The 22,387-nt window shown below is 40.9% G+C and overlaps 2 long non-coding RNA genes across 2 annotated transcripts in view; one reads left to right on the top strand and one right to left on the bottom strand.

The window, feature by feature from the left end:
• The window catches only part of LINC02291 (long intergenic non-protein coding RNA 2291), a 54,012-nt gene extending 34,215 nt beyond the window's left edge, over window positions 1-19,797 (top strand). The window contains exons 3-4 of the long non-coding RNA NR_033943.1: window positions 6,072-6,282; window positions 18,753-19,797. This is a non-coding gene — a long non-coding RNA (long intergenic non-protein coding RNA 2291). The remainder of the gene's footprint in view (window positions 1-6,071; window positions 6,283-18,752) is intronic.
• LOC124903378 (uncharacterized) lies at window positions 13,551-21,500 on the bottom strand. The gene is made up of 5 exons (XR_007064326.1): window positions 21,389-21,500; window positions 19,267-19,315; window positions 17,416-17,538; window positions 13,728-13,774; window positions 13,551-13,647 (listed from the first exon to the last, which is right to left on the bottom strand). It is a non-coding gene; the product is annotated as an uncharacterized LOC124903378 (long non-coding RNA).
• Window positions 21,501-22,387: the final 887 nt, after the last annotated feature.

The following is a 22,387-nucleotide window of genomic DNA, read 5'->3' as shown; positions in this document are numbered from 1 at the left end:
TTTCCATTGACGTAAAGCTTAAAGAATTGGAAGGATGTGTAGAACAGTGCCTGGCTTTGGGTAAGTGCTCAGTAAATGTTGGCTCAGTAAGATAACATACTACGTTATTATTGTTAGCCCATCACTCCCTCTGATAACATTTCTAGCTAACAAATGAGCCACAGCCTCTCTCCTCCCCCATGCAGCCTAATTGTCCCAACAGTAGTCCTGCTGATGCTTTCTCTTGGAACTCCAGTACTTAAGGTGCTCTCACAATTCACACCTTGCACTATCTAAATCACTTCTTCAGTAGTGAACCTGACCACCTTATGGTGGTATTGAGGTATCATCTTGATCAGTGTTTGGCTGATCTATCACCAAGAGGCTAAATCTGGCCACTGTCTCTCTGTGTATCATCTGTGAGTTAAGAGTGGTTTTTATATGTTTTAATGATTGGGAAAAACGAATAATATTTTCTGACATGTAAAAAATTCAAATCTCAATGTCCATAAAGAAAATTTTATTGGAATGCAGTCATGCCCATTCATTTACATATTGTCCACGGTGGCTTTCATACTACAGCAGCAGACTTGAGTAGTTGCAAGAGGCACCATATGGTCTGCAAAGCCTGAAATATTTACTATCTAGTCCTTCACAGAAAAAGTTTACTGACCTTTGTCTTGGTCATTTGTAGCAAAGCTAGCAATAGAACCTACACCTCCTCCCTTCACTCTGGAACATACTCTTTATATTAGTTCGTTTTCATACTGCTATAAAGAAATACCTGAGACTGGGTAATTTATAAAGAAAAGGGGCTTAATTGACTCACAGTTCCACATGGCTTGGGAGGCCTCAGGAAACTTACAATCATGGCAGAAGGTGAAGGGGTAGCAAGGCACATCTTACATGGTGGCAGGGCAGAGAATGAGGGCAGGGGATGCATAAGACATTTATCAACCACCAGATCTCATGAGAACTCACTCACTATCACAAGAACAGCAAGGGGGAAATCTGCCCCCATGATCCAATCACTTCCCACCAGGTCCCTCCCTAGACATGTGGGAATTACAGTTCAAGATGAGATTTGGGTGGGAACACAGAGACAAGCCATATCACTCCTTTATCACATCTCCATCCTTACCCCCCAAGGATTATACAGCACAATGCTGTGGACATACAAATTACTCAATAGTGTTTCCTTGATGGCTGACATAAATCTCACTTTTTACAATTGCCTTATTTTTACTTTGGAACCTAGTTTATATTTTTTTTTTTGCATTTAATTGTATTGATTGATTGGTTGATTGGTCTATTTATTATTTGATTCCCGATTTAGTCTATAATTTGGCATGAAGCACTAGGTCTTATTCATTGGGTTCTACTAAGCTGTTTCAATAAGAGTTACTCACATGGGTAGCAGGGTCTAATCTGAATACTGGCTTCTTTCTTTTTGCCTGCTTTGTTGTGATAATCCCAGTCCTGAACTCGGTGCCTCAAAAGGATTTTGATAACGAGATATTCAGACAGTTCCTAACTCCCTTTCCTGGATCTCCTTCCCCAACCTCTTTAGCTATAATTTCTTAAGTATTGGGGGTGGGTTAGCAGATATTCAAATGGGGTTCAGTGAATAAAAAGACCCTGTGAGAAAGAATTCACCAGGGTAATGCATCCATTGCCCTTCTGACTTTTATAAATTTCATCTCTTTCAAAATATTGTTCATGTCATTTCTCCCCCACATGAAAAGTAGCCCATATCACATGTAGAACATACCCATTAAAGATTTCTTTAACGTCCACCTACTGAAATGGCATTTTTTTTTTTTTTAACTTGGAAAGACTTCAACGGATTGCACTGCCGGGGACCAAAAATAAGATTTTAATTGAAATACAGATAAGATAGGAGCCTTTAATTTACCTTCTCCCTAAGCAACAGGACTTTTCTGGCTGCATCTGATAGATGGCTTTTCCCCCTTCTTTCTTTTTCAGCCTAAGCTAGAGCAAAATTATCTTACCTTCAGATGAAATATTTTAGGGATTTGGGGATTTTGTGTGCCTCAGGACAAAGGACAGTGTTTGTGAAAAGATCACTGTCCTCTTTTGGAGGCAAATTTCATCCTTATTGAAATTCTGATGTTAGAAAAAGTCTGCCATCTCATTACCATCCTGCATACCACACATTTTATGTGCTCTTATAGATGGGCGCAAGAATATTAGGGGCAAGGGAGAGAAAGAACACAAGGAGAGTTCCCCTGCAATCATGTCAGATGAGACGTTTTTCTTCACCAACAAAATAGTTTGTATAAAATGTGATGCTATAAAAGTGAATTATGTTATTCTTACTGGGGGCTCCAAGGGACAATGCATTCTGGACCACGAGATCATTGTCATCACTTTCAGAGTAAATAACACAGATTCTTCTTCTTAGCCTCCTGTCCATGTACACACCAGTGCTCTCCCTCCTCCATCCAGCCCAGGGCCACCACCCTCAGGTCTGACGGAACAACAGGGACTGATAGAGAAAGGCACAAAAACCACATGACACAGACTTCCAAGGCCAAAGATAATTGAATTACCTGGTTGTCTGCGGTGATGAATATAAGTCGTAGAAACAGGATGCATAGTCTCTTTTTACTGCATTCCTGGCTGCAGTTCCAGCTTTTAGTTGCCATGCCGGCACCAAATGGCCACAACTCCACTATATTGGCCATTTCTGGCCCCAAATGATCTCTCAAAGGCCCCTTGAAATACAGCTTTCAAATCACCCTTGCACTTCATAGATACTAGATGATAGGTCATCACTTCCATATGTGATGCAATTTTGCAAAATGTTTCATTTTATGATTGTATGAATTATGCAAACTTTATTAGTTCTGAATTGGGCTTGAAGTCAAATAATATCTGTTAACAATCTACATACTTGTATTTGTCTTTTGCCCTCCCTGGTCAGGCAAATCCTGCCTACTTTTATTTGGTAGTTCCAACTCCCACTTTCCTGGCTAATATGTGAACACCATGCAAAGAACCGTCAGCATCAAAAACATATTTGGTCCTTAATTCAACAGAGTAGACACTGGGTAAGGCAGAAAGCACACTGGGGAAAATCATGATATATTGGAAAATACGTAAGAATTAGTGTCAGAGCTCAATGGGATTTGAGCCCTAGGTCTTCAGAAGATGCTAAAACTCCCCAGTCCCTCACTTCCAAAATGAAAGATGTAAAGCTCACCCCAGGGCTTGTAGCTGGGCTGAATGGACCTAATGGTTATATAAACACCTGGCACAGGCACTGGTGCAAGTGACCCACCAACATGAATTCTCTCCTTTTTCTCTGTTTTCAGTGGTTGGATTAGCTGAGCCAGAAATTACACCATTTCATTGTCATCCTCCTTTGTTTGTCTATTTGTTCTTCTTCCTAGGAGAATTGAGAGGTTGGGAGGACTATAATCTGTAAGCTCTGGAAACACAAGAACTACTTGTGTTTACTCATCATTGAGTTTCCAGCACAGGCCAAGCCTGGTGCAAGGTTCTTTTCTATTGAGAGAATGTGAAGATGTACCTTAATGACAAACACTCCCCTATCTCATCAACAAGCCAAAGGAAGAGGCAAGTTCTACAGTCAGTTCTGCCACACTGTGACATCTGTGTTCCTAAAAATCACTCACAATCCCAGGGATTAGAGAGGAAATCAGGCTAGGGCACAACATTTAAAAACTTCATCAGGGACACATTTTTAAAAATATATGACCTAATAGAAGAGATACTGCCGTTTTGCACCAGTTAAGTAGTTAATAAATATATGCATGCTACAATAAATGCAACACTAACTTTGAGAAAGGGCTGAAGCTTGCTTGCGGAAGGGGGCCTGGGAAGTAGGGAGGCTTGTGAGTTATTGTGAAGTGATGGAGGAAGGGTGACCTGAGATGGGAGGGTAAGTTGTCTCACATTTCTATGTGGCTCCATCTAGCTAGGTGTAGTTTTGTAATGTTGCATTGTTCCTTACGACATCAATCACATTAAACAAAAGTGCACTTTCAAAACAAAGGTTATGGAGGAACTGGCTATATTTTCAATTATTTAAGGGGATTTTCTATAGGAAAACAAGCAGGCTCTTGGTTCTCAGAGGGTGGAGCCCTGGTGAATGGCTAGGCATTAGAGAAGGCAGCTCTGATCTTGTCATGAAGCCCACATTGTAACACTTAGAGCTGTCTTGGCCAGGAATTTTCATGGGAGACAGTGGGCACCATATCAGAGGAGAGGTTCAAGCAGTGGGTGGTCAACTGCAAGACAGCTATAAAAGGGAAATTGTCAATTGGCCTCTGAAGGTCTCTCCAAGTATAAATTTTTGAATTCTCGATACTATCAAGAATTTTAAAAATTCCATAAAACATTCACTGTATCCACAAAAATGTTAAATTTCTGGTGTGTGTGTGTGTGTGTGTGTCTGTGTGTCTGTGTGTGTGTGTCTGTGTGTGTGCACACGTTGCTGTGTATGTAAATGTGTGAGCTATTTCTAAGTGAATGAACCACGTTGCATGGGTAAGTACTGGATAAGGTAACACTAGCCACTATAACAGGTAAACTCCCAACTATCAGTGATTGGCCAGATCTGAAGTTTATTGCTTGCTGAAGTTCATTCTTAATGTGTGTTCCTGAAGGAAAAGAACCATCCTTTTAAATTCACCATCATTTTCTTCATCATATTCAGAGCCACACAGCAATGCCTAACTGCAAAGGAGGCCAGTTAATGTGGTCTGCCATGTTCTCAGGAAGAAGGAGAGTCAGGTTTGCTGACCTCCTGCAACCTCTGCTTCACCAGACCTCACATTTTCCATATATGCCTATCAACGTCAATGTGTTCAAGCAAAGTGAACTCATTCCAGAGAAGGGAGAAATTGGGATAGCACTTATTAAGCATCTATTATATGCTTAACTCTGATCCTCATACGTTTGCACGCATTGTTTTATTTAATACTTATAATCATGCTACTAGGTGGATATTGTTCTTCCTTTCTACAGATGGGAAAATTAGGGTCAAAAAGAAGTAGCAATTTGGACAAGATCACATGGTTAATGCATGTCAGGGGAAGGACCTGAATTTCAAATAGGAGATGCCCACTCTGCTTTCTTGCACCGTGGCCCTTTGGAAACACTCAACTGGTCACTTTGGACTGAGGCTTGGAATGACGTAGTCAATTCTCAAAATCTGGGCATACCTTCCTGGGGCTTTAAAGATGGGGAGGACTGAGAAGAGAGGGGACCTAGGTATTGGGACAGGGCTATCTTCAATTTGGTTGTTCAGTACGTACAATTTAGACCCCATCTTTCTAATCACAGGAAAGTGCACAGCCTTGGTTCCTTCCTCAGTTTTCAGACCTGCCTCAACCACTTGTAGCCACCTGAGCTTGATTAAGCCAGCCCACCTCCCTGAGCTTCAATTCATTCAACTGAAAAACAGTTTGTCAATAAAACTCCTTTCTTCTCAGGAGTGAGCTAAGAGCATGTTCATAGACAGCCTGAGAGTGAGTGTGTTTTTAAGCCCTTAGGTGCTATATAATTATCGTCATCATGGAAAATCGCCATTTGTTTTGCAGGAAAAAAGAACAGGAAAATCAGATTCTGAATGTTTATGGGGAAAATACAAAACCTTGGTTCTGAATGCAGAGGGAGACAAGAGACAGTCTATTTTTTCTCCTGCTGATTCAATGATAGTTATTAATGTTTTTAAGTCTTACAGATTAGTCTTAAAAATTCATTTTTCTGAGGTTTTGTTGCAGTTGAAAAGCCCGTGGGAGCGATTTCTAGTAATCTAAGTTGATAAACTGTAAATTAACTTTATTTTCAAAGATTAATTAAAAAAAAACTACAAAAAACCCCTATGACCTTTGACAAAATAATTGTACCAGTTGTAAAACAGCTAAATGCTGATTAACAGACATATCCAGAAATTAGTGTACAAAATAAAAAGATACATAGAATGAGAGAACTTATTTTGTAACTACTTCTTTCCTTTTATGTAATTTTCTTTCTCTGAATTATAATTCCTTTCTAAACCATAAAATGTTTGACCAGTGTCTGATGATGCTTATCCATAGAGATAAAACTTGAATTAAAAGAAGAGGCAAGAACTGGTGCTTCATTCATCTCTCCCATCAACTCTCTCTTTGTGGTCCTGATTTGTCAGTGAGAATGTACTGGAGTTTGCAAAGGAGAAAAAAAAACCACAGAGCTTTTCTCCCAATTGTCTGCTTTCAGAATGAAGAAGGAGAAGTCAACATTTGGGAAGTGTTTACCATGGACCAGGAGGTAATATAACACATCATTTAACTCTCCCAACTAGCCTGGAGCACAGATTCCACTACCTCCCCATAACAATGAGAAAAGCAAGGCTCAGAGAGGCTTAGACACTCATGCTGTATGTATTAGTCAATTTTCACACTGATATAAAGAAATACCCGAGATTGGGTATTTTATAAAGAAAGGAGGTTTAATTGACTCACAGTTTTACATGGCCAGGGAGGCCTCAGAAAACTTATATCATGGCAGAAGTGATGGAGAAGCAAGGACCTTCTTCACAACTCATCAATGACATGTTCTTCTTCCCTTATGAATGGCATTTCCTTTGAACAAGTAAATCCATAACTTAGAGGCCATACAAACTATTGACCTGCTGCAAAGTGGAACCTCTGCATTGTTGCCATCTTCTCATCATAGGACTAGCAAATATTTCCTGACCTCTCATTGTGGGCCACATCATGGGGGGCTTCTACCTGTCCTACTACAGTTACCTGCACAACTCTCCCTATCAATCTCACAGTTCTTATCCTCCCAATTTGGTATTGTCATTGGTGATTTGCAGTTGGGGAAACTGAGCCTCAAAGAGATGAGATGCATTTTCTAGGGACTCACAGGTTGTGGATGCCAGCTCCAGGTTTTGGATTTGTCTCTGTGCTAACGCCTATGCTCATGACCACTGCCTCTTTCATAATCTTATTATTTTATTTTATTTTGACACAGGGTGTCACCCTGTCACCCAGGCTGGAATGCAGCGGAGTGATCATAGCTCCCTGCAGCCTCAAACTCCTGGGATCAAGGATCTTCCTGCCTCAGCCTCCTGAGTAGCTGGGACTATAGGTGTGTGCAACCACTGGCTGATAATCTTTTTAGAATTTATTTTTCTTTTGGTCTCTGTAATTTTATTTTCCTTTGTTTATTTATAAGGTACACTGCTTTGAGGTTTAAAACAATTCACTGGCACAGTGGCTCACGCCCGTAATCCCAGCACCTTGGAAGGCCAAGGCAGGTGGATCACGAGGTCAGGAGTTCAAGACCATCCTGGCTAACACAGTGAAACCCCGTCTCTACTAAAAATACAAAAAAATTAGCCGGGCGTGGTGGTGGGCGCCTGTAGTCCCAGCTACTCGGGAGGCTGAGGCAGGAGAACAGCGTGAACCCGGAAGGCAAGGCTTGCAGTGAGCCGAGATGGCGCCACTGCACTCCAGCCTGGGTGACAGAGCCAGACTCCGTCTCACAAAAAATAATAATAATAATAAAATAAACAAAGTGTCCACATTTGGGTTACTGAATATCCTGTGTCTTGATCTAGTTGGTGGTCACATAAGTGTGCTTATATATAAAAATTCACCAACCTGTATGCTGAAGGTTAATGAGCTTTATGAAGGTATATCCTACATGAATACAATAATTTAAAACTACAGAAATGGAAATTTAAAAATAAGCAACCAAAGACAAAACAAAGCAAAAGAACAAAACAATGAAATCAGAATCACAGGATCATAGAACACCTGCACAGAAACAGACCCACAGAAACTTGTTTTGTTTGTTCTGACACTTTTTTCACACTGCACTGTCATGGCTTGTCTATGAGTGCTCTGGTCATCTCGCCAGACCATGAGCTCACCACAGGCAGAACCTGGCACATTTTGTCCTTTGACACAGGCTTGCAGGGTGATTAAAAGATTTTTCTCCTGTGATACATTTTATTTGCACAAGTTATCTGGTTTGAGTCAAAAAACCTAATTGTATTGACAAACAGGCCCTTGGCAAAGATGTTTATTGCATACCTTAAATTTGCAAGGTTATCTCTTCTCATCTTACTGAGCTCTCACCTTAATCTTCCTGATCATCTCCTTCTTACCCCGTTAAGTGCCCACTCACCTAAAACACACTGGATAATGATGTTTATTACCCAACAATGAAAATATTGTTATTTATGGTTATAATCAGGATGTCATCAAATATGAATGCTCACATTTGGTGAGGGCCTTTCAACTGATTGTTTATGTAAATGAAAGTGTTCGCTCATCATCACATCCATTTTGGGAAGAAACAATCAGCCAGGCGGGTTGTTTCTCTCTATAATATCTTTTTAGTATTCAGTTCACTGAAAACCAATCTGCAACAAAAGAAAAAAAAACTACAAATTTAAGGTTAGATGTAAACCTATAGCAAATGTTAGCATGCCCTGGAATGACACAGGCAGAAGCTCAATTGCAATTCCTCTTCACTGGGAAACTTAGAATGGGCCTCCAATCTGGATGCAGTTTCCAATAGAGAACTAGCCTTTCCATCCCAGTTTCTCCCACTTAGCATGAAGTGGACAAGGCCATTATGCAGTGGATGTAACCACCCCAGCCCTGGAATTGGGCCATCTATATGATCTCAAGTTTGTCACATTTACAAGCAAGTCTTAGTTAACTTATCTGTTGTATTAGTCTGTTCTCACACTGCTAATAAAGACATACCTGAGACTGGTTTATGAATAAAAGAGGTTTAATGGACTCACATTTCCACATGGCTGGGGAGGCCTCACAATCATGGTGGAAAGCAAGGAGGAGCAAGTCATATCTTACATGGATGGCAGCAGCCAAAGAGAAAGAGAGTGTGTAGGGGAACTCTCCTTTATGAAACCATCAGATCCTGTGAGACTAATTCACCATGACAAGAACAGTGTGGGAAGGACCCATCCCATGATTCAATTACCTCCCACTGGGTCCCTCCCATGAAACATGGGAATTGTGGGAGCTACAATTCAGGATGAGATTTGGGTGGGGACATAGACAAACCATATCATCTGTGAATGGATGCTTAGATGGACTGTAAGTGAAAACTCTAAGCATGTGTCCATAACAACCATCTCAGTGGATAGACTCCATTGTACTGTTAGGAAGGAGGGAAAATGTTCTGTCTCCAACATTTATGGTAACTAATGCTGAGGCTCTAAGTTACAATATAAAGTACAAGGAGCCCATAGTACTATTCTCTAAAGGGGATACACACTTCTTTTCTAAAGAACCAGATAGTAAATATTGACTCTGTGGGCCACTTAGTCTCTGCGTTCCAAATGTGTCTGTGCAGCAATAAAACTTTATTTGCAAGACATATTTGATCTGTGGACCATAATTTGTTGACCAGTGGTCTAAAGCATCCTTACTTGAAGTATTATCCACAGATCGTTAGTACTGCAAGATATTCTTTGCAAAAAAAAAAAAAAAAAAAAGTCTCTACACAAATAAGTTGGGAAATAATTCATAGCTTGTCCCTCTAGGGTATTCACATAGGGCACATGATCCTTCTAAATCTGCTGCAAAGAAACGATTGAAAACAGAATTTTTCCAAACTTCTTTGACCTTCCTTTGCACCCAGCCTGTGTGCCTGCCCACATGACTCTTGCTTTGGGGAATGCAGCTCTGAGCATGTTTTTGTCATCCGACCCTGAGATGCTGAAAAAAGAAAGACTCTTTAAGCCATTTTGCTAACCTTCTGTGATCCATCTTATGGGGGGTAGGATTGAGGTCTGTGGAGGCTAACAGATCCGGCAGGTAAGGCAGTAAACCCCTGATTGGTGAGTTACTTTGTCCTAATGTTCTGAAGATCGCCAAGTAGCAGCCTCGCGACACAATGGAAAGATCACTTTGAGAAGAATAAAGAGACCTGAGTCTTCGTCTTCATGTTGCCCTCGGTTCGCTTTGTGGTTCTGGAAAGCTGCTTCATCTTTCTGAGTTTCACCTGCAAAATCGTTTTCCCCATCTGAAAAAGAAAGACATTTATTTAGAAAATTCCTGAAAGTTTTGCAGTGTTGTTGTTATTGTTTCAAGCCTTCTTTTTTTTCTTGTCTTTAAGGGCAGATTGAATGAATGTAGAGGTAAAATCCCAGGATGAGGAAACTCAGAAATGAGGGTTAGCACTTCTTTTCTTTCTTTCTTCTTTTTTTTTTTGAGACAAAGTCTCAGTCTGTCATCCAGGCTGTAGCACAGTGGCGTGATCTAGGCTCACTGCAAACTCCACCTCCTGGATTCAAGGGATTCTCCCACCCCAGCCTCCCAAGTCGCTGGGAGGATTACAAGCCCATGCCACCACGCCCGGCTAATTTTTGTATTTTTAGTACAGATGGGGTTTCACCATATGTTGGCCAGACCTCAAGTGATCCACCCACCTCAGTCTCACAAAGTGCAGAGATTGCAGGCATGAGCCACTGCACCCGACCGGATTAGCACTTCTTTAACCACGCACTTGACTTTCTGACTTTTAATTTTGTGTTAACAAAGCTGACCAGATTTTGGCTTCCCAAGTCAGAATCACGAGGGTCAAAGCCCCCAGGGAAAGACAAACACAGCAGCAGCAGCAGCAGCACACACTCACAAAGACAGACGGTGGACTTGCCATCAGGAGCACAAGTCCTGAGCTGAACTAGGGTTCCTTATTCATTCCTCATGTGAACTTGCACAAATTACCCACTTTTTTTCTTCTGACCTCAGTCCCCCAATGTATCACTAGAGAGTGGTACTTTATAAACTGTTGTAATAAGCAAAGAATAGTTTTATTAATACCATAACTGCTACCATCACTATGGCTACTCTACACCAAGTATAAGAGGTGAAAGACAATTGTGTGATGAATATTAAAACACCTCATAGAGCTGGAAGGGCCATTGAGAAATCAGCGATCCACTTCCTAGCACTTCCTATTGTTGTACAGCCTCCTCCCTTGCAAAATGGGAAGGCTTTAAAGCCCCTTTAACTCAGAGACATTTAGAGAGAGTGATTTGTAATGTCTCAGACACTGTTAAATGTGTTTGACATATCATTATATTTATTCTACTAAGATGATGATGGTACTAATGGGACAAGCCTCACTTAGGAACAGGGAGACAACCTCGATTTCTGTAGGAAAAAAAAAATATGTTACAAATGGCAGGGCAATCTCTCTCATGGAGGGATAGGAAGAAATTGGCCTTGAATCCAAAAGTTTGTATGGATGTTTAAAAGGAAATACATGACTTTGCTTTCTTGAAAATTTATCCAATTGAATTTCCTTTCAAATGAGAACTGAATGAATCCTTCTTTTTAGCTTAGACCTGGGCTTCATAAATACCATCTCTGCACAGTATATTACGCACATCATTTATTCAGCAGATATCATAATATATTCAGGGCTGCTCTTAGGAAGAGAAATTTCAATATTAGATAAAAATAGTGAGATGGCGACGGTAACAGTGTTTGTCTGGTACACAGGGTAAATAGGATTGTTAGCGATTGCTAAAGGCTTCAGGAAAAGATAGGGAAACAAAGATAGCTCGTGCCAGATTCTGAGCCGAGCAGTTGCAGAGGTTCAAGGAAGCTTGATTACCTTCTGCCACCACGTACTTCTAAGCAGGCCCAGAGATGAGTTCCTCCTTTCTTATATTTTCTTGTAAGAATCGCTGAATGTTATCCTAATTAGAAATCTGCTCAGATTTGGAAACAGGCTGGCGTTGTCTTCTCTCCCTAACCCTCCATCCTCCCACCTCTCTGTATGTCTCTCTCTCTCTCTCTCTCTCTCTCTCTCTCTCTCTCTCTCACACACACACACACACACACACACACATGATAATGTCCACTGTCCACAAAGAGTCAGAGTCTTCTCTGAGCCTGTCACCAAACTGGCTTTACACAGGCTCTGGGCCTCTCTGAACTTGAGTTCCTGGACCTGCATGGGCAGCAATTGGACTGATGAATCTCTCCAAGCCTCTCTGCCCATGTCTTCTAAATCCAAAGTGCTGGCCTGTAATAAACACTAACAATGCTTGGGCCTGGTTCTGTGTTTTATATGTATCAACTCACTTAACCCTCACAACACCCAGGGAGATATGTAGCGTTAGTCTCTTCATTTGGTGAGGAATCTCTCCACTTGACAGGTGAGGAAACAGGTGGGGTACCAAGAATTTAAGGAATTCATCCAAGGTCACAACCAGGAAGTGGCCGAGCCAGAATTCCAACCTAAGCCACGTGGTTTCAAAAGCACAAAGCAGAAAGCCTAGCACAGAGCCCAGCCTCAAAGGCACAGAGCTGCAGTGAATGCCCCTCTGGTAGACACTCCAGAGCAGTGGCTCCTGTATGTCCACTCATGTGTGCGTGAACATTCATGAATGTACCCGACACTCTGCTTGGCACACGCAGAACTGAGACTTGCAGAAGTGTGCTAGTGTCATCAGAACCAACCCAGGGTTGGTCCGGGGGAGACTGTCCCGGGGAAGAAAGAACTGCAATTTAGAAGAAGAAGTCAGTGCAGCAGAGGAGGCCCTGCAGATCCCAGGCAGCGGGGAGGCAGCCTAGGGCTAAAGGAGTCCAGGGGCTCCCGGTGAAAGATACATTCACAATGTGAAGGATGGGTCAGACATGGAAATGGGAAAGGCAAGCCAGGGGGATACACAGGACAGAGAAGTGCAAAGTGAGAGGTGGGCAGGCTCTCACAACCATGGGGCTGGGCTCAGGGCTATTTTGTGTGAGGGAAGGGAGGCAAGAAGGCTGTAATAGCAAACTTGAACTACTTTTTTGATTGTTTTGTTTTCAACAAAGCTGAATGCCAGTGAGGCATCTGCAGGGGCTTTGGAAAGTCTGGTTGAGTTTTTGCACAAGGGTTCTTGGGCAACCTTGTCGATACCTGGCAAGGTTGCAGCAGAGCCTGTAATTCTCACACTTCCCAAATCCTCCCAGAAGCCTATACAACAGTAGACCATGCATTTCTTTATTATTTTCTACACAGGGACCACCTGGATCCTTATTGAAGAACATAGACTTGAAGTTACTACAGTTAACCGACCTCCTATTCATTCTTCTCATTTTTTTTTTCTGAGGCTACGGATAAAATGCTTACATAGATACACTATGCATTTCATGGTTCTATTTCTTTCCTTTTTGCTTTTACACGTGAGGCCCAGGGGGCCCACTGCACAGCAGGAGCCTGGGAATGCGTGGGGACCATTAGTGCTCTGTGGGACCAGAGCTTGCTCTAGCAGTCATTGTTTTTGCCTCATTAAGAACTTTCTCGTTTCTTCACCCACCAGTAATAGTTGTTTGTTGTTGTTTTCTCAAGCATTCTGACAGTTTCAAAACCAGGAAGCATGACTCAATCCTAGTGAGGGCTCAGTTTAATTCTCTGAATGAACAGAATGAAATTACATATGTAGGAAGATTTTGTAATCTTTCTTTATCTACTCTGTTCACCCACCTTAAGAACCAAGCTCCAAATGGAAGTACAGCAGGTGATGTGTGTCTTTCTCTCACTTTCACCTCCTGGAGAGTCAACTCCTCTAGTGAGGGCTTCTATGTACACGCTCCCACTTAGCCCCCATTATTTCTTCAGGGTCAGCTTCCTTATTTCCTTTGACAGCTGAGAAAGTTGAAGTTTAGCGTCATTACTAGTGCTGAGAAACACAGAAAGTGGTTTAAAAAAAAAAAACAAAAATGTACCTGATTCTAAAGTTTGTGTTCTTTCCACCACACTCAGTTTGCTTCCCCTAAATGAAAAAAAAAGGTACACATGTAGGAAGCTTCAAGTTCAGTCTCACTGTCTGTAAAATGAGATAGTGAAAATTACTCAAAAACTAATTGGAAGTATTGAATTGTTCCTGGCTTATACATTGTAGGGGATAAGGTAGGTAAATCCAGTGCTAGTTGAATTTTGTGTTAGGCTATTCTTGTACTGCTATAAAGAGATACCTAAGACTGGGTAATTTATAAAGAAAAGAGGTTTAATTGGCTCATGATTCCCCAGGGTGTACAGGAAGCATGGCTGGAGAAGCCTCAGGAAACTTACAATCATGGTGGAAGGTGAAGAAGCAGGCATATTTTACATGGCTGAAGCAGGAGAAAGAGAGAGAAGGGGGAAGGTGCTACACATTTTTAAACAAACAGATCTCCTGAGAACTCACTCACTATCACAACAACAGCAAGGGGGAAGTCCACCCCCGTGATCCAAGCACCTCCCACCAGGCCCCTCCTCCAACACTGGCGATTACAATTCAACACGAGATTTGGTGGGGGCACAAATCCAAACAATATCAAATTTCAAACTGGATCTTTTAAAGGAAGAATCAAAAGAATGCTCTAATGTGTTGCTGGGTGGATAAGGGATGTGGAAGTGGGAGAATTCAAATGGCTTGTTCAATTTCATATGGCTCATTACTTGGTCCTTTAATTCTAAATCCAGCAAGTGGGGTTTAGCCAATGGATTGCTTGGAAAGAACAATTGGACTAGATCCTCTGATTTCTCTTCTTCCGTCTCATCTCCTGATTTAATTTCTTCTTCTTTCCCTTTCCATTTCTATTAGTATAGAATGGAGAAAACAAACAAACAAACATCAAGAAACATAGGTTTGGATTTTTCTCCTCTTTTTTGCTCTGTGAGTCTGCGAAAGTTCTCTTGAACTCTCTGAGACTGATTTCTTCCTACATAAAAGGAAGGAATTGGTCTAAACTATTTTAAGATTTTAAATCTTAATGTCTCCCTTCCTCTCCCTTGCCACATTCACCTCCTCTTCTTGTGATCTAGTCTCCGGAAACTCGAAGATTACAAGCAGAAAACTAGCCTGATACACTTAGCATATGCAAATGCTGTGCCAGAGAGACCACCAAAGCTTGGATTCCTCCTTCTGACTCTCCAGAGATATATAGGGGCAAGCCTTTCAACCAGGGCAGAAGGATTGTAAGTATCTCAGCATCTCGAGTACATAAAACCTAACTAGCATTCTGCTCCAAGCCAGTTCGACCTCATCAAAACACCCCTGGGGTGAGCTGTGATTCCTGGGAGCCCGTCCTCCCTCAAGACAACAGAAAGTGCTTCCTCCTGTGCCTCTCAGGAGTGCCATGTCCATTGCTCCGCCTTACCAAGAACAAGCAAAGCCTGAGAACAGGATTTGCAAATAAGGGAGGGGGAATGGAGGCCTAAGGAAAGTGGAAAGAGAGTTAAGAAAGGAAGATGGAAGATTCAGGGGCTGGAGGATAGGAACTGAAGACTGAGCAGCAAACAGGAAGAAAGAGAAGGGAGGCAGGGAACCCAGCAGAGGGACAGGCAGACAATAAGCCCGAGGCAGGAGGAAAAGGGAAAAGCCCATGGTGCTAGTTTGAGGCACTGCACCTTGTTTGAATTCCTAAATTTATCATTTCTACTAAATGTAACTGGAACTTACTATACATTTACCAGACAAGCCACTGTACTTTGCAGTATCCTTGAGAGATGGAGGTGGACGGAGGGACTGTTACTTTTTGCCATCATGAGGAGGACACGGACTCTCGGACAAGATAATCCTCCTGAAGCTACTTGAGAGTGAAGTGCAGACCTAGGGCCCTGGATTCTAGAGCCCAGAACCACCAGCTGGCCTGGACTTCCAACCTCCAAATTCAGGCCTGTTCTCACCCAGCTCAGGCACATAGTCAAACTCAAAGGCGTGAAAATCAATTAGAACACGTGAGGGAAGATGGTTCTCAGTCTGAACCAGACACACCAATGAATGGACTTGGAGGCCAGGCCAGGTCCCAAATGCCTCCGCACCCCGCCGATATTTCTTTTGTATATTACAAGCCAGCAAAATTAACGTCTGCTTGGAAATCACACAGAGGAGGCTGGTGTGACTGCAACTCTAGCAATGAATGCACTTAGCAATTCTGTAATTTATCATTTGACCACTAATATATGGCTAGCAGGAGGAAACAAGTGCTGGGGACTAGACACAGTTAAATCAGAACAAGCGTCCATCCTTCAGAAGCTTACCACGTGGTAAAAGACTTAACGTATGTGTTCAAGTATCTTTTTTTTTTTTTTTTTTTTTTTTCTGAGACATGGTCTCACTCTCTCACCCAGACTGGACTGTAGTGGCTTGATCTCCGCTCACCGCAACCTCAGCTTCCCAGGCTCAAGTGAATCTCCTGCCTCAGCCTCCTGAGTAGCTGGGATTACAGGCACACACCACCACTCCTGGCAAATTTTTATATTTTTAGTAGAGATGAGGTTTCACCATGTTTGCCAGGCTGATCTCGAACTCCTGACTTCAAATGATCCACCTGCCTTGGCCTCCCAAAATGCTGGAATTACAGGCATGAGCCACTACTCCCAGCTAGTTCAAATATCTCTTTTAAAAGATTTTTAAAAAGGAATGAGAAAGGAAAGTCTGTGTGGTTTTTGTTAATGAAGCATAAGCTTCAGTGCTGGCCTGGCATCTTTAACAGATCAGCTTTGAAGTCGAATCAACCTTGTAGATCCTCAGTTTTCTCATCTATAAAATGGAGCAAGCAAGAGTCATGACACTCAGATGCTGCGCAGACTCCAGGTGATCCTGCGGTATACTCGATATGCCTGGCATATCATCAGGGGTCCCACACATGCACAAGTTTCCCTTTCATTCCAAACAGGGAATGTTCTTTCCAGTTTTAAGTTAATGCTATTTCCTCATCTGCATTTTTTTTCTCTTCCATTCTTAATAAGTTGAGTAAGAGGGACAGTGAACTGGAAAGGGAAAACGTGAAAATGCCGAGAATTCTGAAAATACATCTTTCCAAATTGTGCAGCTTGGTGTTGGCAAGATGACAAGGGCCCCGGAAACCGGGTGCAAACACAGCACAGCAAAATCACGCAGCTTGCGTGTGCAATATATGTATGTTACATGCCAACTGCTGAACAAGTGCTTTTAAACAAATGACAAATATGATACGATGCTCTGAGGATCAGGCCAAGTGAACGCAAGGGTTTTCAAGATTCAGATGTGGACACGAGGTTCCTCTCGTTCCCGCCCACCAGCCCTTGCCAAGCCCGAGACCCCAACATAACACTCCTTTTGCCTCAACCTTTCTATCTGCGGCACCACACACATGCACACACCATCAAGCAATCACAACTCCACCCCTCATGTTAAGCCTGTAGGCTGTAGAATATCGGCCAGCACATTATTTTCCCAATCAATTTACAAACTTAACTAATAATTTAATTCGCCGCATGACAAATCCACTAGCTCATGCCGAAAGCAACTCAAATGGAACGGCCATAAAATTCCCTTCTACGCCTTTGCTTGATGCCATCGTTAAAAAAGAGAAGGGATGACAAAGTGAAAGGGAAAGTGCAGTGATTCTTTTATGTGAAGATTACATTTAAAAATAACCGACTAACCGTCTGCACTTTTCGGGGGCCTGACGTCTCGAAACGCATTTAGATTGATGCAGGCTGGGGCTGACGTTCTCGTGCTGAGTAAACAGTCAAGTGTTCTTAATAGGAATTGCAGTTTCTCGACATCTGTTAGGGAAAAGGGAATGGCGAAACAACAATTTAGAGTGAGATTGGTTTTGTTAAATGCATTTAAATTCCAAGATTAGTGGTGTTCTTTCTTTTTCAATTAGCATTTACTTGTAGAAAGGTTACAGATGAAAGGGCTGGGGAAGAGATCGGGTGGATTTTTTTCCTTACTGAGAGGACACTCCAAAGCATAGTAAAGCTAAAATAGGAAGAGAACGTAAGACTTAAAGGAACTTAAAACTGATGCCAAATTGAGATTGCAAATCTTGAAGGGAAAGCATTTAAAATAAAATAAAATAAAAATAAAGTGAAGTTGAGTCTGGATTTGATGATCCTGTCCTCTGGACAGAAAAATCATAAATTGCTTTGAGAAAATACAGGGATTTCTATTTTCCAAGCCAGTTACTAAGCAAAATTTGTGTTATTTCTCAAATATATGCCATGGTTCTGTGTGAGTGTGTAAAGAGCTGTAACTAGCTCACTTTTTTTTTTTTTGATAGAAACATAAACAGAGACGAAAAATGTAGGGAATGTTTCACCTGTTTTACTGCCATTAAATAAACCTCATCTGCTACCAAGCTGTTTTGGGTGACATTTGCTAAATAAATACATTTTGTGGGAGACTTGAACACTGAAGCACAGAGACATGCAACCGATGTTCTCAGATGAATCCTGTTTGCTTCTCAGTGCCTATACCCCTACCCCAGGGGGAGAGTGAAGTGGTAAATTCAGGTTTATGTTTTCACATTGGTAGTTTATTTTCAAACGTACACAGCTACAACAAAAAGTACATGCTTTTATTACCAGCGTTTCTTGTAATTCTCTCTCTCTTTCTGCCCCCTAACCCAATTTTCCCCTCTCCCTCACTACCTTCCTCCCTCCCTCCACAAATACCTTTATTGCTTTTTTTTTAACTGGGGAGTATTCACTATTTCTTTACACTTCTATATGGATTTCACTTTTAAAAAATCTATCAGCATGCATATTTCGTGCATGTCTGAAACCTTTAAAATATTGTTTGATCTTCATGATTATTTAAAAATATGTATATTGAGTATTTGCTTAAGGTAAAGCCATTGCTGCCATTTCCAATTAAAAAACTAATAAATGTATTTTAAAAGAATGTCTGCCAAGACTGTTCTCTGACAAAGTATCTCTGTGGATATTTAAATGGCACCAAGATGGATTACTGTTTCTGATTATTTCTCATGTAGGGTCTCAGTGATTTTGCAGAAATCGTAATTGAAGAAAATGATGGAAAGGAAGCTTTGAATATGGAGTGTTGTTATTGCACTGACTGGACAACCAGATGGAGCTATTCCCAGTCCCCAGCACACAGATAGAGAATCTATTCGACAATAACTAAAGAGGTGTACAGTTCTAGAACATTCTGCAACCAGACTTCAGGCACCAGGAGGCCTCCGTAGGCAGGGTTCCTCGGGCTTCTCAGCTGGCTTCCTTGGAGAAATTTCATATGCTGATTCCTTTCAATTATCTGTCAATTTTCAAAATGCAAATAGAAACATGCAGTCATCACTTTGGTACTCACCAGCTGATTTCTTCCAAGCACCCAGACCATAAGTGAATGCAGTTCAATATGTTCTCTTCCTTTTTTTAAGTGGAGTTAATATTACTGAGCAGATTTTGGTTAGCTTCCAGGAACCCAGTGTGTGGAGAGGCAGAATTTTATTTTAGAAGCACAAGTTGGTTTGAAAAATGTGAACTTACCCCAACTCTTTCTTTGTTTCATCTTTCTTACTAGACATGTTTTATTTTCCTAAAGAAAACATAAATAAAAACAAAAAAAAATTCTTCATTGATACACACACACACACACACACACACACACATACACAATTTAGGTCAAATTATTTTTACTACTTAGGATGTCTTTAGTTATTTTACATATTTATAACACAGAAAAAAAGTAAGAAGAAAAGGAAAAATGGTGTATAATCTTAAGACCAGGAGATAACCAATAATAAATATTTTGCTATAATTTCTTTTCATATTCTATGCATATACATTTTATGGAATTGAGTTCACACTGTTCACATAATTTTGCTTTCTCTATTTTGCCTTTACCTTTATCAATAAGCATTTTCTTTATATCCTTAAAATTTCTTTATTAACGTAACCTAATACATATGCACAAAATGTTACCTAATCATTCGCCTGTTTAAGGGCATTTGGTAATTTCCAATATTTTTTCCTTCACGATTTCGGGTAATGTTTAAATAAACCAATTTATGGAAAAGAGCTACCTATGTTGGATTACTTGCTTAGAATGAATTCCTGGAAATAGAATTACTGGGTCAAAGGGTACCAACATATTTAATGTCCCCAAAGGCATATTGGCAAATTGCCTTCCATACAAATTATACCAATTCCCCCTCTGTAACTAGTATATAAAAGTGCCTGTTTCACAGTATCTCCCCTGCTCCAAGATCTTGTAAAATCTCTGCAAATTTGAAAAATGAAAAAAATGATAACTGTTGCCTGGAACAATTTGTTAAAAGATGCACTGAGCAATACATTTATTTTTAAAATTTTTCATCTCACAAAGAAATATAAAAGCTTATACACAGGATGTTTTCTGACCAATAAATGCTAAAAAGCCATAATGTTTCATCATACATAGTAGATTATTTTGTTCGAAAACCTATTACATTTTGCATGCTGCTATAGCAGTCTTTCTAGTCCAGAAAACACTTCACTAAAACAGCAACAATATCAGTTTACTGCATAAGATTGCCGGCAGCTCACACTAGATTCTAAACACGATTGAATAGGCATCTTTAAGAGTGGAATATCCATGACTTATCTTGCCAGGCTTGGTACTATGCCAGTGGAGAAGGTGGATGGTGCCATTGTTATTTGGGCAGCCATGCCGATCTCAAGGAGGAAAGCTGAAATTGTTTGAAAACCTGGTTTAAGACAGTCTTTTTGAGATTTAGCCCTAGAGAACACTCAACTAAACAACCAAGAGAGGCAGAGCAAAGACTGTTAAAAGGTGCAGAAAAACTCGACAACAAAATGAAAAGACATAGGAAGAACCTTGTCATGCAAATAAACTTACCATGGAGAACCCAGAGGTCACTGAAAAGCACCTTTGTGCTCTAAGAGTACAAGGTTCAGAAAGGGAAGATTCAGTCAATAATTGCTGTGTTTGTCTAAATCTGTATTCCCCCAAGCTATTGTGTTTTCCAAGTTAGTAAAGTCAATCCTGTTCCTTGAAGTTTTCTGCTAGGCATTCGAGTTTCCCTCTAAGGTTCAACCTACAGCAAACCCTAAAAGATCCCAAAATAGCCCTAATAACTAGGGGTGGATTTTGAGGGTAAAAGGAAAGATCAATTACTCTTTGAATATACTCAATATGTGAATTAGCACCAAAAGTATCTCTATTTGTATGACCCTAATCATGTATTCTTCATCAGAAGTTGCCAGCAATAGTGAGTAGACACTTTAACACCACTGATTATTCAAAACCAAAAAAAAAAAACCCAAGAAAGAAAAGGAAAGAAATTAAAAATCCACCAAATTAAAGAAGCATGCTCTACCTCCCCAAATCCTCAATTCTCTTAACTGTCAGATTTTTTTTTTTTAACTGAGCCAGTCTTCGGAGATGATGGCATTTTTTATTGTAAGAATATTCCTTCTAGTAATCAATTCCCGCTTAATGAAGTGTTCCCTAAATTAAATCTACCCTTTCTGAAAGGTTACTCCCCAAACAAAATGAACAGGAAAATGCCTCCAGTCCATATAAATGTCATCCTGCCCTCCAGTAAGTCTGTTTTAATCACTATTTTTAAGGAAGCAGCCCGATTGAATAGGAGAGAAACTCAATTACCTTGTATACCAAGACAACTGTCACAGGGGGTCACAAACAGTGCCTTTCAGAGGAGCCTTCCTCCGGAGAGATGTAAGACACACTTTGTCCTGCAAATGATTTGTCCTTTTCCCTTTTTAAAAAAAAAAAAAAAAAAAAAAACAGAGAACCATGTCCCACTGGTGAAAAGAAGAGAAGAAAACTGGTATCAATTGAGGACGTACTATGCTAAGGCTCTTTCACTAATTCCTTACCACAAGATTATTAAAGAACTATTTTTCTTTCTTTCTATGGAAATAAAAATGATGTCCCAGTGGGGTAAGTTCACCCTTAAGGGGTGTGGCCACAGGGCTGGAGAGAGGAGAGGTGACACTTGTGCTCTATTCTGTGCAATTACAAGGGTACCTCTGCTAATAAACCAGTTGCTGACCCCAAATCAGCATTGAAAAGTCAACCAAGTAAGGACACTCCAGAGAACATTGGGTGGAAAATGACAAGCAGCAGGTACCTCCTGACACGTATTCCAAACAGCCGTGTGCCTTGGATTGGGTTTCTGCAAAGGCATTCATATGCTTTGCAAAGCTAATGTACGGAGGCAGCCTTCAGTGCTTATGTTTTTTGGAATTAAGTTGCATGACTGTGCCTTGCTCTCTAAAATGTGTAAATGTGTAAATTATGCTGAAACAGATTGCCAATGCAAGTTGAAGAAATGAAAAATATGGTGTACTCTCACGGCAAGGGTGCAAGGGCACAGGGGTGTGGCTTGCCACCTGATGTTAAAGGCAGCCTCCAAACTCTCCACGCTTGGGGCTTCTAGAGAGGATGATGGTGAAAAAAGGGATAGTGAAATGTAAAGAAGCTAGATGTCTTTTCCAAGAGCCCAGTTACACCTAAACACAATCTCTTACTGGCACAAAAGAGGCTATGTAAATTATCATGTTACCTAAGTCCTATTTTCAATTCATATTTCATTTCCCCAATTCACCACATCCTAATAGAAATGCCACAGTAACATGCCAA

This window comes from Homo sapiens, chromosome 14 (assembly GCF_000001405.40).
Source record: "Homo sapiens chromosome 14, GRCh38.p14 Primary Assembly".
Taxonomy (NCBI): domain Eukaryota; kingdom Metazoa; phylum Chordata; class Mammalia; order Primates; family Hominidae; genus Homo; species Homo sapiens.
Note: the sequence above shows the minus strand (reverse complement) of the source record. Positions and strands in the feature narration are given on the sequence as shown.